The 15,951-nt window shown below is 41.2% G+C and overlaps 1 protein-coding gene across 2 annotated transcripts in view; it reads right to left on the bottom strand.

Moving 5' to 3' along the window:
* Positions 1-7,427: 7,427 nt before the first annotated feature.
* The window catches only part of LY96 (lymphocyte antigen 96), a 108,466-nt gene continuing 99,942 nt past the window's right edge, over positions 7,428-15,951 (bottom strand). For both annotated transcript variants that reach the window (XM_017013299.2, XM_017013300.2), the window contains one exon: positions 7,428-7,866. In XM_017013299.2, coding sequence (XP_016868788.1) covers positions 7,675-7,866 — 192 coding nt within the window. In that variant the 3' untranslated portion in view covers positions 7,428-7,674. The remainder of the gene's footprint in view (positions 7,867-15,951) is intronic.

Raw genomic sequence — 15,951 nt, 5'->3', positions numbered from 1 at the left:
AGTGGATGTACTTTCAGGCTTGTACCCCAGACTCCTGAAACTTAATTCCCATCTATGTGGTCTCAAAAAAGCTGCTTTGTGCTGTTGTAAATGCTTGTGGGGTTTTTTTCTTTAACTCATCCTTGGAGTTTTCTTGTTTCACTTGATTCTCACAATCATACTGAGCTGTAGACAAAACTGGGGTTTTTATAAGGAGTCTGAGGTTCAGACATGCTAACTGCTAGGAGGTAACAACAGAAATGGGGACCCAGGCCATCTACTTCCTCACCCTGAATTCTTTGTCCCACCTGGCGGCCTCCTGTGGTAGCCATGGGAACTCAGTCACTCTCCTTGTGGCCTCCTGCTATGAGGCATAAAGTGAATTTGGTAAACATTCACTGCATGGATGGTACAACAAAGGCATAATGAGGAGCTGCATGTTCCAGTTTTCTACTTGTTCTGCCTCTCCTTTATTGTGAATGAAACTCCCAGGAAGTTCAGCTGAAATAATCAACTCATTTTTGTCCTGTTGTGCCAGTTTTCATGTTGCCACAAACCAAAGCAGTAACTGATCCAGGTCAAAGCATCCAGAATACTCCTGAGAAAGATTCTAGATGGGAGAAGGCCTCATGAAACAGTCTGAAAGAACAAAGAGAAAGCCACAAAATTAATGTAGCCCATCTGTGCTTGGTAGGCACTCCCAGTTTCCAGTATCTCTGCTGCTGACCTATGAGAATTTGTAAATGTGATTTTAAAGCATGACTGTAATGAAATCATTTGCTCAGTTCAGTTAGAAGTCAGATTCATCATGCCTAAAAAGTTGGAACATGAAAGCATTAAAGAAAGCAAAATTATGGGAGGCCTGAGGAAGCAAAACAGAGAGAAAAATGGAGAACCAGAGGGGAAATTGACTCCAGGAATACTCCAATGATGACAAACAAAAATACCACATGTTTTAGTTATTAATAATATGTCTGTCCAAACTCAGTCAACAGAAACCTCTCAGCTCAAATACAATTATCCTTCCTTAAAATTCCTTTGACTTGTTCACATTATTATTGTTTAAAACAGATTTAAATCAAGTAGGCCAGGCTCTTCTTGGTCAAAACATTCTTAATGACTTAGAAGATCAAGTAATAGGCTGATTCTCCACAATTGCATTGCTGGTCACTCAAGCACTTGTTTATAATACTTCTTATTTCAATGTGGCAAGATAGCCTTTCAAAACCAGACTTTCCTGTTATCTGATCACATTTCTGCTCCAGATTTTGATCTAAATTCAGGGACACCAAGGAGCAAAACCTTTGATGGAACGTTAAAGACATCTCCAAATGTTGGGGGAGAAGTATATGGAAGAATTAGAGCCTTGGTTTGAGTCCTTGAAAATGTCCCTTGTCTTCCTAGTCTTAACTGAAGGAGATATTAATCTTCGTATTCATCCCCATGAAGGGGTAAATATGGTGGATCAGGCCATTTGCCACTGTTCTCTTAAACCTCAAATCAACATATTATGCATCCGTGGAAATTAAAAAGTCTCTCATGCCCAAGACCTACAAGACGCAATAGAGAGGGCTAAAGCAAACAGGTGAAGGACTAGAATATTAGGAACACCAAGGAAAAACCAACATATGTGCTTTTTGTGTTCTTGTTGTTGTTGGCAAAGGGGAGGGGCACCAGTGGTCAGGAATCTGAGCTTATGAGAGAGCTCAGAATATTGCTTCTCAACCAGTATTACCACCTCCAGAGGACATTTTGGACATTTGTGGGAGTTATTTTATTGTCTGGATGATTAGAGTATGCAAAAGACTTCTAGTGGGTTCAAACCAGAGGTATCAGATATCCTGAAATGAGCAGATTGGTGCCACACTCCAAAGAATTATCCACATCCCATACAATTTGTCAAATGTCCCGCCCAGCATCCATGTAGATAAAAAAACTATAGTTATCTAAATTTTATAGACATCTTAGATTTAAACTCAAATAATTTTTGCACTATTTTAATGTATACCAAATTCGGTGGGATTGTGAATATGGGGTAATTGAAGGAATATTTTGCACACTTTGTTTCAAATTTTACCAAAAGTTGTTCATTGGTTTCAAAAATCACATTACCAACACAATACCACTGGCTGATTCTGAGACATCAGCAGGCCACCTCTGCACATGTAGCTGTCCCCGCACCATGATTTCTCACATAGGGGCACACACCTGACTCCCAATGTATCCTCTTGTACAGAAGTGCCAAAGAATTTACATACTGAAATACACATTATTTTTATTATACATTATCAACCTTTTGTTTCTCCTTTATATTACAGTTGAAGTTATTTGTAGATAGATTATACCACCTATAAAATACATTCCAGAATAGTAAAGGAATGTTGCAGATTCTTTTTATAAAAATAGATTTTTGATTTTCTAACTTAATCATTCCTTCCACATTTATTTCTTGGCATGATGGAGTTGGGAAATTATCAGTGGATGCTAACAAGTACAGGAAAATTTGATGACAAATAGGATGTTTACATAATTGTAAAGCGTCTCCTCACAAATTTTTTACTATTTGCAAAGAGAAAAACAATTTTACAGTGGAGAAGGCTGGCAAACACCAACTCAATCAAATGATCAAGATTTAGAAAAATATTGTATATATTACATATAAGTATATTAATGTATGTGGAGAGAGTGAGAAAAGCAAAATAAATATGGAATTAAAGATTGAAAGACCTGACGTAGCGATTTTTAAATCATGATCTGACTATTATATGTGTAAGTCTTTTGGGAGTCCATGCTGTATAAATAACTTTTTTTTCTTATTGTTATTCTCTAAACCATGCAGTGTGACAACTACTTACATAGCATTTACATTGTATTAGATATTATAAGCAATCTAGAGACAATTTAAAGTATACAGGAGAATGTGAATAGATTATATGCAAATACTACACCATTTTTAGATCAAGGGACTTGAGCATTCGCAGGTTTTGGTATCCTCGGGGGCCCTGGAACCAGTCTCCCTTAGACATTCAGAGACGACTACACAGTAATATATGTTCACATCCACATTTGCTTTAAAAAACTAAGATTCTGATTCAATTTGTGCTGTTCTCTTTCTTCTTTCAATATATCACCACTTCCCATTGTTACTATCTTAGATATTTCCAAGAGTCTGTCTACATATATGAAATGGAAACTTCACAGTAATTATTTATACAGCAAGAACTCCCAAAGACTTACACATATCGCAGTTTTTTCTGAATATTTTCAATCTGCAATTGGTTCTATCCACAGATGCAGAACCCAAAGATATGGAGGGCCAACTGTGTATATCTTTTTTCTGGTTTGCAAAACTGTTCTTTTATAAATACAGGGAGAAATATGAACATAAGAGAATCTGATAGAATTTTTATACCAAACAAACAAAACAAAAATCAAATACCTCACTCTAGTTCTATTCCAATCCAACATTATGGATCCTCCCAACATTCACTGATGACAGCTTCTGCCTGCATTTCTGCAGGGCAGCCCATAGTGTTTTCTTCCTAAGAAGCCATGCAATGCAGCATGCTCTGTCCCCATCATCATATTCTCCCAAGTACACAATGTTAAGTAAATTATTCACCTACTGAAGAATTTTTTAGAAAAACAGGCAGAGAATAGACTTCAAAAATTTCAAAATCTTTATGAGGACCCCCAAACTTGCCCAGATTCTACAAAGATGAGCACAAGGTGGGGTGTCCCCTTTCCAAGACCATAAAGACCCACTGCGCAGCCCACAGCTTCCCATCTCCCAGCTAGGAGCGTTGGATCCGAAGGCAGCCGAGCATGCAGGAAAGGGTTTTCTCCTTCACCCGCAGTTGTCTTTTTCCTGGCAAACAAGTCAGGTGCCAGAAACTTGACCCAGACTGGCAGGGACAGAGATTAGAGGAAGCAGAAGAGGGAGAGGCACTAATGGAGAAAATAGAAGCAGTAGAAAAAGTGAAAAAGAGTGTCAAAAGGGTCCCGATTTGAAGCAATTTCAGAAAAGTTACTTATTTTCAAAGCATTTAAAGCCTCTCAAAGTTCAGAAAAGGCATAAGCCTGCCTGGAGGTGTATTGCCTCTGCAGGGTCGGTTCCTCGCCCAAGGGTAGAAAAACAGAAAAATCTCTCACTCAAGAATTGCAGAAGTATGCACTCTTGTGCGAGCACCGTTGACTGTTGTGTTTAATTCCTTCGTGCTGAACAGAAACCATTACCACCGGACCGGACCCCAGGGATGACTGGCCAGCATGCTTCCCAGCACATATGTCACTGTGTGCTTTCCTGACACTGGTTCTTTCTATTCATCTGTCACACAATCCTCTCCCCTTCACCAGAGCAATGGATGTAACTTCCCCTAGACAGTTAATTAACCCTTATTTTATCTTGCAGCTATCAGGAAAACACAAAGTCATTTGGGGTCATCTCTTCAAGGTTGAGAAGCCTGAGCCACCCACCTGCTCCTGCTTGTCAAAATGAAATCTGCCAAGTGCTGAGTTGCTCGAAAATGTCCCATTAAGTCATTTAAAGATATAGTTCTTCATGTATCTAGCACAGCATAACCTTAATTTGAGACATATTCCTTGTCACAATCACAGAACCTCTCCACAAAATGTTTTTCTTTACTAGAAAATAAAATGAGCTCCCATCTGAGAATGTTAGCATCCAGGTTTCTCATTTGTATTTCTTATTTCCTTAACAAATAGAGCACTCTTTCATGCATCCAACTATGTGATCTTGCTCACAGTAAGGGACATTTTAAAGTTAACCGATCACTCACATCTACAGTGCATTATAACTGGTTTTTAACCTCTTCTTCTTCAGCAAGTGACTGGGAATACCAGAATCAGCATTTTAACAGTTTCAGGTCTAGGAACTAGGCTGTCAATCTCTGCATCATATCATGGACACTTACATCACATCATGGACGTTTACTCTTCCATTGAGAGCTGCTGATTTGCCAGTATCTTCCCTGGGTATCTCCACCTCATCTATTTGACTTAAAAATTCACACTCCTGTCTGTCAAATATCTAGGGCATAATGTTATTCTACAACCTAATCCTTGAATAAATGCCATCATAAGTTATACCTTTATCATACTAGGATTGCTAAAATGTTTATGACATTCTTCAAAATGAACTTCAAAGAATCATCTGATGAAATGAGTTTGACATTATGTATAACATTCTTATTGTGTTTCTGGGAATTGTCCTGCACTTGTTCTGTCTGTTCCATCAGGTGAGCTCACTGTGATTAGTTTCTGCAAAGAAAGAAACATTGCTAGTTGCCTGCTTGCTATGGCATCTCAGCTTAGTGAAGGGGGACCCATGCTCCCACTGTGGGGCCACTGGATTCACAGTAGATAAGTGAGTCACAATTTCTTTTGGCCTCAGTTTCCTCAGGTAATATTGGGATCTTCATTATATGATCCCTAAACTCCCTTACAGGTCTAACTCCCACAGCTCTGTGACTATGACTGTGACCCCACAAGGCACTCTAGATAACTCTCAAACCAGCTCAGAAGCTTGGAGACTTTGTAGCTTCCAGAGCCCTCTCTTATAACTTACCTCATGCAAGTTTCCTAACATGCCCGTGGGGTAGGCAGCACTCACCATTTTGTTCTCATTTTGCTCATATTGATACTGAGCCCGAGAGTGGCTTACCTAAGGTATCACAGCCAATAATCAGAAAGACCTGGACTCCAACCCAATTGCAGAGGTTTAAATGCCCAGTCTTGTGCCCTTTCTACTACACAATAATGTTTCTCTCATAAAGTTTCAATAAACAATCACTAACACAATTGTATAGGAAATTCTCATTCCCCACTACATGCTCCTATGTAAATTAATCCAGAAGTAGATGTGCACATGTCACGGTTGCAGAATTTTTGTCCTGGGAAAAAGCTATTATTTCCCTTAGGAAATCTGACAGCGCAGCACTTCTGTTCATTTATTGAAGACATTTTTGAGGACTACAAACTTTGCAATATCCAAGGTTCTATGATGAGTACTTTGTTGGCTCAAAGATTCTCCCCTCCAGTGGTCACAGTCTTGGTGAACCAATGGGATGCAATTAAATAAGCTATAATAGAAGGTGGAAAGTCTCGGGAAGAGGCAAAATGTCCCCTGGGAACTTTCCCCTGGGAGGATCAGAGAAGGCCTATTAGCTTTCTATGGCTGCTTTAACAAGTTACGACAAACTTGGTGGCATAAAACAACAGGAATTTATTCTCTCACAGTTTTGGAGGCCAAAAGTCCAAAATTAGTGTCAACAGGGCCACACCCCTTCTGACGGCTCTAGAAGATAACTCTTGCCTGTTCCAGCTTCCAGCATTCCTTGGTTTGTGGCAGCATCAGTCCAATCTCTGCCACTGTCTTCACATGGCCATCTTTTCTGCATCTCTGGGTCATCTCCTCTTCTTATAAATATATGTTATTGGTCCTTAGGCCCTATTTCCAAATAAGGTCACATTCTAAGTTTCCGGGTCACCATGAATTTGGGAGAGAACTTAGGCAACCCACTTCAGAAGGCTTCCCAGAAGAGATGTCATTTGAACAGAGCCATGAAAACCAACTGATTCTTACAGCAGCAGTGGAGAGGAAAGCCATCCTAAGAAGACTCAGGAGAAAGATAAGGAAGTGGGCACCTCCTGGGCATATAGAAGGAGACAAGCACCTTGTGGGAACATAAGAAAAAAAAATTGGAAAGAGGATGCATTCAACTGCTTGGACACCCATAATAAAATACCACAGGCCAGGTGGCTTAAAATACAGACAGTTATTTTCTCACAGTTCTAAAGCCTGGAGTCCAAGATCAAAGTGGCATCAAGGTTGGTTTCTGGTGAGGCCTCTCTTGCTAACTTACAGACAATGCCTTTTCTCTGTATCCTCATGTAGCCTCGTCTCTGTTTATGCAGAGAGAAAGAGAGTGAGTTCTAGTACCTCTTCTTCTTATAACGATACCAGTTGTTATGGTTAGGCTGTGTCCCCGCCCAAATCTCATCTTGAATCGTAACTCCCACATTTCCCACGTGTCATGGGATGGGCCTGGTGGGAGGTGGTTGAATCATGGGGTGGGTCTTTCCTATGCTGTTCTCGTGATAGTGAATAAGTCTTGTGAGATCTGATGGTTTTATAAGGGGGAGTTTCCCTGCACAAGTTCTGTTATTCTCTCTTGTCTGCCACCATGTAAGACGTGCCGTTTGCCTTCTGCCATGATTGTGAGGCCTCCCCAGTCACATGAAATTGTGAGTCCGTTTTCTTTTTCTATAAACAGCCTTGGGTATGTCTTTATCAGCAGCATGAAAACAGACTAATACACCACTCCTATCAGATTAGGGCCTCATTCTCATGACCTCGTTTCACATTAATTCCCTTCTTAAAGGCTCTATCTCCAAATATCATATCAATTTAAGAATGACAAGTTTCATAAATTTAGAAAGAAGAGCTTTATTTCTCATGAAGAGTTTCAGCCTGCAGGGTGGCCATTCCCAGAGGCTGGGAAGTGTAGTCTCTGGTCAGAAGCCAAAAACAGATACTTCAAGGGAGGGGAAAAGGGAACAGAAACGTATGGTAAGTTGAGTGGTTAAGTGTACATATTCAACAGATTATAGGAGGAGTCATTAATATTTACAAAAGGAAAAACATGCACATGTGCAATTGAGCTTCATGCCTCTTCATGGGTCCTGTGTACAAAAAATGGCAGTGTTAGCATAATCCCAGGGTGGAGTTTTAGGCCCTCTGACATCAAAAGATGAAGCAGATGACAGGAAAACCTTTGCTGCACATTCTCCATAGACTGGCCAGAACCACTCCATGGTCAATTGTCTCTCATCAGGAAGAAATGCTGGTCTGTTGTTGCACCAAAACTGCAAAAGGGAGGGGCAGCATAAGGTGGTTGGTTGATATCAGCAGCAGAGTCTTTTGAGAGGGCTAGTTTCTGTTTAGCCTGTAGGGAAGAAGGCCTAATGGCTGTTAGTGAGGGAGCGGATATAACAAGATGTGTCCAACCTCCCATACCATCATGGCTGAGGACCGTTTTCAAGGTTATTCTGGGGTTGCCATGGCCAAGAGAAGGTCTGTTTACTCAGTTGAGGGGCTTAGAATTTTACTTGTATTTCCCAATAGTTATATCAGGAAGTAGGGCTTCAACACGTAAATTTGTGGAAAGAACACAGACAAAATTCAGTCCATAAAAGATTATTTAGAGCCAAATAAAAATGGGTCAAGAATACCAACCAGGCCAAGGAATTGGACCTGTATTCTGCCAGTCATAGAAACATGTTGAAAATCTTGATAGTGGTTATAAAAATGTTTTCAGGAGAGGCATCCTCCTTTTCATTTTCCTGTTCTATAAAGTAAGGACTATTTTCTAGGACCCCTTTCAGACTGTTAGGGTGTGATTACTGGCTACATTTTAGAAAATTAATCTCTTAGAATTGCTAACTCTGTCTGAATCATGGGCTATGAAGCAATTATGTCACCAAAAGTTAGATAATTTGTAAGGGTCATTGTTTTTTATTCTAAAAGGGCTAATAATAGACCAGCTGCTGTCAAGAGCAACAGAATTCTGCAAGTTCTTAGTATCATCAAATAAATACTAAGACAGAATAAGATGGTCTGGGTGTGGTGGCTCACACTTGTAATCCCAGCACTTTGGGAGGCCAAGGTGGGTGGATCACTTGAGGTCAGGAGCTTGAGATCAGCCTGGCCAACATGGCAGTCTCTACTAAAAATACAAAATATTAGCTGGGCGTGGTGGTGGGTGCCTGTAATCCCAACTTCTTAGGAGGCTGGCGCATGAGAATCGCTTGAGCCCAGGAGGCGGAGGTTGCACTGAGCCAAGATCATGCCACTGTACCCTAGCTTGGGTGACAGAGTAAGACTCTGTCTCCAAAAAGAATATAAAAAGACAGAATAAGATGAACCTGTGAGATTTTTTTTAATTCGGACAATTCTGGCATGATTAGCTTGCACCATAAGGGACATTTGTAAACATTTTTCTAAGGCCTTACTTTTTTATACAGTTTCCAAAAGAAATCCTGGGTCTTCTTTAACTCCCTGCTCAGTAAAGTGTGAATTGAGAGGCAGTATTGAATACCGAAGGGCTAGAGCTGGCAAGATACTTCTGAAATTACTCATTTCTGACTCTCACATCACAGACAAGTAAGCTGAAGCCCAGAGGTACACAGTAATTGGCCTGAGACAGTCCCCCAGCTATTTATTGGAAAAGCTTACCTGACACAAACAAGAAATAAGCCTTAGAGGTCTGACTGGTGAAAAACCATACCTGCTCTAAAATTTAACCAACATTATGTAGTACTTGTTGTGTTCCAGGCACTGCTTAAGTCAATTTCTCTGCTGGCCATAGAAAGTACCTAGGGATAGTGTCAAAAGGCAGCTTCTGATTCAGCAGGGCTGGTGCCAGGTCTGAGAGTCTGCATTTCTACTATAACAAGCCCCTAGGTATTGTTGATGATGCTGGTCTGAAGACCACACTTTGAGTAACTGGGGTCCAAGTACATTGTTTATTTATTTATCTATTTACTTATTTATTTACTTATTTATTTATTTATTTATTTGAGACAGAGTCTTGCTCTGTGGCCCAGGCTGGAGTGCAGTGGCACGATAGCTCACTGCAACCTCCGCCTGCCGGGTTCAAGCGATTCTCCTGCCTCACCCTCCTGAGTAGCTGGGACTACAGTCACACATCACCACACCCAGCTAATTTTTGCATTTTTTAGGAGAGACGGGGTTTCACCATGTTGGCCAGGCTGGTAACTCCTGACCTCAAGTGATCCACCCACCTCAACCTCCCAAAGTGCTGGGATTACAGCCATGAGCCAATGTGCCTGGCCCCAAGTACTTTATAAATATCAACTCTTCTATTCTCCAAAATAACACTACTACTGTTACAGATACAGGTACTGTTGCTATTCCAATTTTACAGAGGAGGAAAGTAAGGCACAGGAAAGTGAATTGTCTAAGAGCACACAGGCGGAAAGGGCCAGAGTCAGGATTTGTACCCAGACAGCCTAACGGTAACCTGTGCTCTTAACTACATTACCCTCAGATTCTCAAAAGCAACCCATGATCATCTCCATGCATCCACATATCTACTTTCAAGGCTGGGTCATTAACACTGTATTTTAAGTATGCTGTCATTAAAACAATCACCATGAAAATTATTTTTAAAATTAGGAAATGCTCATGATATAATGTTAAGCAAAAATATCAGAATACAAAATACATCAAGCCAGTCCAGGCTCCCTGACCACCCACCTCCGTCACTCAAGTAGGAACCACCCAAGTCATCCCTGCAACAGCAGGAAAGGTCTGCTCTCTTTTTCTCTCTCCCAGAAACTACCCCCAGGGAAACTTCATTCTTGCTCCTGCTCCCCAACAAACACTTTAGGAAGTGAGGTCTCCCCCGATCAAAGGCTTGAGAGAGAAGTATTCACATCACCCTGGGAGCAAGCCAGCCATCCTAGCATCTATAGCTTTCTTTCATTCATTCAACAAACATCCACTGAGGACCTGCTATGTGTCATATACCATCATAGGTGCTGGGGTACAAAACAGACAGAGTCCCCGCCCCCATGAAGATTACATTCTAGTGGGAAATGGCTGACAATTGTCAAAAGCATAAAAATAAGCATATTATATAATATCTTACTAGATGATAATTGTTATAGAAAAATAATAGAGCAGGAGAGTCAGCAGGGCTGGAGGGAGAGGGTTGCAATGGTACTTAGGGTTGTCAAGGTGACCTCAGCAAGAAAATGACATCAGAGATTTTAAGTGAGGGAGTTCATGATGCACATGTCTGGGAAAGAACATTCCAGGCAGAGAGAACCACAGGTGCAAAGGCCCTAAAATAGAAACACATCTAGAAAGTTAAAGGTACAGCAAAGAGGCCATGGTGTCTGAAATGGATGAGTGACAGGAAGAGGAGTCAGAGAGGGAATGGTTGGGGGAAGGGACAGATCATGCAGAGCCTCATTGGTCTTAATGAGGGCCTTGGTCTACTTTGAGAGTAATGGGGAGAATCAACCTTGGAGGACAAGGATGGAAGCTTGAAGACCAGCTAAAAGGCAACTGCAAGAATCCATGCAAGGGATGTTTGTGGATCAGACCAAAGTGGTTGCAGTGGAGATAGTAAGAAGTGGTAACGAGATTCCAGATATTAGGGTTTTTTGAAAGGTTAGATGTGGAATGTGAGCAAAAGAGAGGAGTCAGGGATGCTTCCAAGGCAATTGGCTCGGGCACTTAAACACATGAAGCTGTCCTTAACTGAGATGTGAAAGAAGGCAAGGAAAGCCAACTTGGAAGAAAGATCTAGAGTTCAGTTTCAGACACGTGAAGGTGGAAATGCAGAGACATGGAATAGATGGTTGGCTCTGTGAGTCTGGAATTCAGGGACAGGTGTGGGCTGGAGGTGCTCGTGTGGGAGTTTGCGGCACAGACAGCCATGAGACCAAATGAGATTTCCAAGAGCATGTGGAAGGCAGAGAAAAAGGAGCGATCTAAGGTCTGAGCCCTGGATGTGTCAATGAAAAGAGAAGGAAGCAGCAAGCATCTGGGAAGATGTATCCAGCAGCAGAAGAGGTAGGAGGGAAAGTGCAGAGTCTTGGAAGTCAAGAGAAGAAAATGTTTGCTGGAAGAGAGAGTGAGCGACTGTGTCGGCTGCTGCTGCAAGGTGAGATGGGATGAAGACTGAGAACCAAGCTTTGGATGTAGCAAGGCTGAAGCCATGGTGACCTTCACGAGCAGTTTCATGGAAGTAAGAAGAGAAATGTTTTTCCCCACAGGAAGGATAGAAAACTTCAACAATAAAAATGGGAAAGGGGCACCGTGGCTGGCATTAAACCTATAGGGAGGGATGGAGGAAGAAGCAACAATCCCTATGGCCCTTAAAGGACAGATCTGTGTCATCCAAGCTGAAATGCTTCTGTGCGTGTAGGAAAAGGCTTTATGTTCTCATGACTCAACAGATTATGCTGCTAATTTACTGACTCTTTGTTCTCTCTTCAGCTGTGCCCTGAATAAAGCTTAATCTCTTAAGCAGAAGAAAAAAATAAAAGGTCATTGACCAGCAATTAAGCTATCACTCAGATGAAACCTGGACCCAGTTCATTACATGAAAGGGATGCTTGCAACATTCTTTAATTTGAGATTTGTGGCTCCAACAATGGATTTTTGGCTTTGATATTGCTGCCACACCTTTGGAACAATAATATTGGGAAATTCACTGTCCTTTCTCTGTATTCAGCCCACAGAGGCCAGATTTCTGCATTCAAGGCCAAACCTGCTCTTTCTATCAACTCTGTAAAATCATCTCCTATCACCAGCATTCCTGCCAAGTTACCCATTTAGAACTGTCTCTTTCTTTTTCACACAAAGCCATATGTGAATGCATAAGAGATGATATACTTAAACCCATCAGAATCGTTCCTTTTTTACCCCAAAAATGGAAAATCTGCCTTAAAATTCCTGAACAGTAACTTCTAACTCATTAGCAATTACCAATTGCTTTTTTCCCTAGTTAAACCAGACTATAAAATATATTTCTAGGAAAGCACCTAAGACATTATACTCACACGGATGATCATATGCTTTGTTTCAACCTGATGGAAAGAACTATCATTATTACTCCTATGGCTAGGAAAAAAGACATTTGCAATCAAACCTCATCATTTCAGATGCTGCTACTCTAAAAATAACAGTAATTCAACCTTGATTGAAGGTTACCTTTGTAGCACATTTGAAAAGAAGGCATTGCAAAGAAAATTAATAACATGAATAATGTCCAAGGAAGATATTTAAACTACTTAGAACATAAAGGGTTTCAAATATCATCAATTTGTTAAAGGAGAGCTATCTTCAACAATACTAGCACAGAAAGACAGGATGCATGTGTAATTATGATAGGTATCTACTCATGAGTTCATTATGTCCCACCTTTTTTCAAAACTTATGAGGTTTTGTTGTAATTGCTGAGCTACACACACAGACACACACACACACACACATACACACACCCACTACCTCACCCACAGTCATGCAAGTATATTCAAACAACTTGCCAACCCACACATTTTATTTGCCAACACCCACACCCCACCCACAATTAGGTTTCCCAGATTCAAAAAGTAAATTGCTGGTCCTTTCTTTTGGTGCACAATAAGAAAGGACCGGCGATATACTTGAGTCATAAATGGACTACTCCCCAAACTGTGTTTTCATAATTATATAATTATAATTTTAGCAGTATAAAATTAAAAGAAAAAATATTATTTATTGCTTGACTAAGAAGTAGCCTATGAAAGAGATTTGCCTCTTCTCCATGCCTATAGATTTCAACATAGAGCAGAAATAATTAGAATCTGTGCTTAACAACAACAAAAAATACACCAAGATTCATTTATGAAATTCAAAATAAATAATATGCTATCTTAAATTATTATTTTTAGATGTTGAGTTGTATAAGCAACCTGCAGAGGGTGAAATTTGAAGGCAGCTCCACACAAGATGTAAGCATGAGAGAGGCATATATAAAGAATCTTACCAGCCCAGGACCAGCAGATGATGAAATCTGACAGATTGGCTGGCATTATCTCCCCCATTCTGGGTGCTTGTCTCATGCAATCTGCTCCCACGGGGCTGAGCCATTGCCTCACTCTAAAAACATCAACCACACACACACCACCTCCGATCCTGGAAACTGAAGAACTCTACACTGTGGTAAACATTTGTTCTCTGAAGTTTTCTTCACTAAACTTTTAGGATTCATATTTACCACATGTTAAGAATGTACCAAATGCACAACATTCAGAAAATTTCCCCCATCGCAATCCACAATAGTTCAAAAATATTTGTTCAACAAACCTCTGTTGAACATCTGCTATGTGCCAGGCACTGCAGTAGCTATTAAAGATGTAAAGCTGAATCAGAGACTGGTCCCCTCCTAAAGGAGATCATCATGCATGTAGAAAACAATGTCACAAATATGACATGAACAGTGCAACAGTAGAAAGGAAGGCAGTGTGATTCATTTTGCCTAAGAGATTGAGGAAAGCAACGTTGCAGAGGTTGTATTTGAGCTCGGCTTGCAGAAGGAGTTCACTGAATGAGAAGGAAAGAAACAGCGTCCAGACACAGCAAAGCCCTGAGACCTGTTTGGGAACTGAAAATCCAGAATGACAAGGTAGAGAGCAAGGAGGAGAGTAGGCTACAGTGATGGGCTGGGCAGGAAAGCTTTTGAATGCCATGCTTTTATTTTATACTAAAACAATAAGAAACCATGAAAGACTTTTAACCAAAGAAAAACAATCAAATCAAATTACATGGTATAATTACATAATTGTGGCAGTTCAGAGGATGGATTGAAACAGGGAGAGAAAATCAGGACTTAAAGTGGAGCTGTGGCAATACAGAGAGAGGAGGCGGCAAGAACTATTCCAGAGATAAGATGAACAGGATTCAGGGACCTTCAGATACCAGATGTGAAGAAGACAGAGTGGCACGGGATGAATTCAATGATCTCAGTGACAATGACAAGTGAGATGAACTTTCATGAGCCAGTCATGGGAAAGCAAGAGGAGGTGAAAGTTTGGGTGAAACAGTGAGTTCAGTGTTAGCTATTTAATGGGTTGCCTAGGAGGAGTGGAAGAGAGGGATGGAGGAGGTCAAGAAACTCTGTGTCCAAGTGTTGTCAGTGCTGAAGTTAAAGTCAGCCAGATGATAACAGGAGATGAATTCAGGAGAGAAATGGCAGCCCAGGAGTCAGTGGATGTGATGGAGTGACCCAGATGTTGATAGGTTATGGCAACTTGTATAGAAGAGCATAATCTGGCTGGATTGAGTGTCCCTCGGGGGCCAATGTTCTTGGATGACTGACTTAAGGAGCCATTCCCAAACCCTTTCTCCCTAAAGCCATGTACTCATTTTCCCTGTTTTCCTTTTAGCTAAAGGGGGCAATGTGGGGATACTGGAACTCTGCTGGGAGCCTCCAGAAAAACTTATGCTTCTCTGATAAAATGAACAGACTTAGTTGGTGCTTCCCCCACCATCTTCCTTGAATGCAAAAATAATGCCCAAAAGTTCTTTGAGCCAGCTTGTCACCCATGAGATGACAAAAGGCCAATATATGAATTATAGCCAGGTAAGAAGACAGAAAGCCCCACTTTCTAGCCCTAGACTATAGGGAGCTTTTAGGCAAGGCCCAAAGCAAAGCAGTATCATAGAAGGAAAATCAGGCTTTAAATGAGTCAAAAGGAAGGGGGCTTATTCTAAGGAAAGGTTGAGGACAGAAAGCGTGTCCTGCTGTTTCCCCAGCACCCAGCATGATGCCTGAGATCCAGGAGCTACACACCATGCATTTGCCGAATCAACAAATAGTAAGTGGATGGAAGGACTTCAAGGAAGGCTTGAGGGAGGAAGGGCAAGTCGAAGGGTTTGAAGGAAGGACCATGTCAAAGAAATGGGGACATACTGGCTGGTCAGTTAGAGCGTTTGCCCCTTGGACAGAGGTCTCAGATCACAGCGAGGAGGGAAGCCAGTACTGGTTGAAGGACAGTTTCAGGCATCAAGTCCCAGAAAAGAAAAGGCAGAAATATCGCTTAGAGAGAAACCATCTGAAACAACAATTGGCCTGTGTCCATTTTACAGGTCCGCTAGCAGAAGCAGTTCTCAAGGCCTTCCATTTCAGGAGAGCCATATCATTAACACCATGAAAGAATACAATTTCATCCTCAGACGCCTACAGCTCTCAAGTCCACCCAGGGACTCCTGAGGGGGGACACAAGTCATCTTGTAGGGTGAGGTTTACTCTGCCTGACTCATAGGAAAGCCAGCCCAGAATCTTTGATCTTCCACTTCTTCAGGCCTAACAATGGCAGGATTTAATCTGTAAGAACGAATTCTAACAGCAGAAAGTTGGGCACTGGACAAGA

The sequence above is a fragment of the Homo sapiens genome, chromosome 8 (genome assembly GCF_000001405.40).
Source record: "Homo sapiens chromosome 8, GRCh38.p14 Primary Assembly".
NCBI classification, from domain to species: domain Eukaryota; kingdom Metazoa; phylum Chordata; class Mammalia; order Primates; family Hominidae; genus Homo; species Homo sapiens.
The sequence above is the reverse complement of the archived record's forward strand: the minus strand, read 5'-3'. Positions and strand labels throughout refer to the sequence as shown.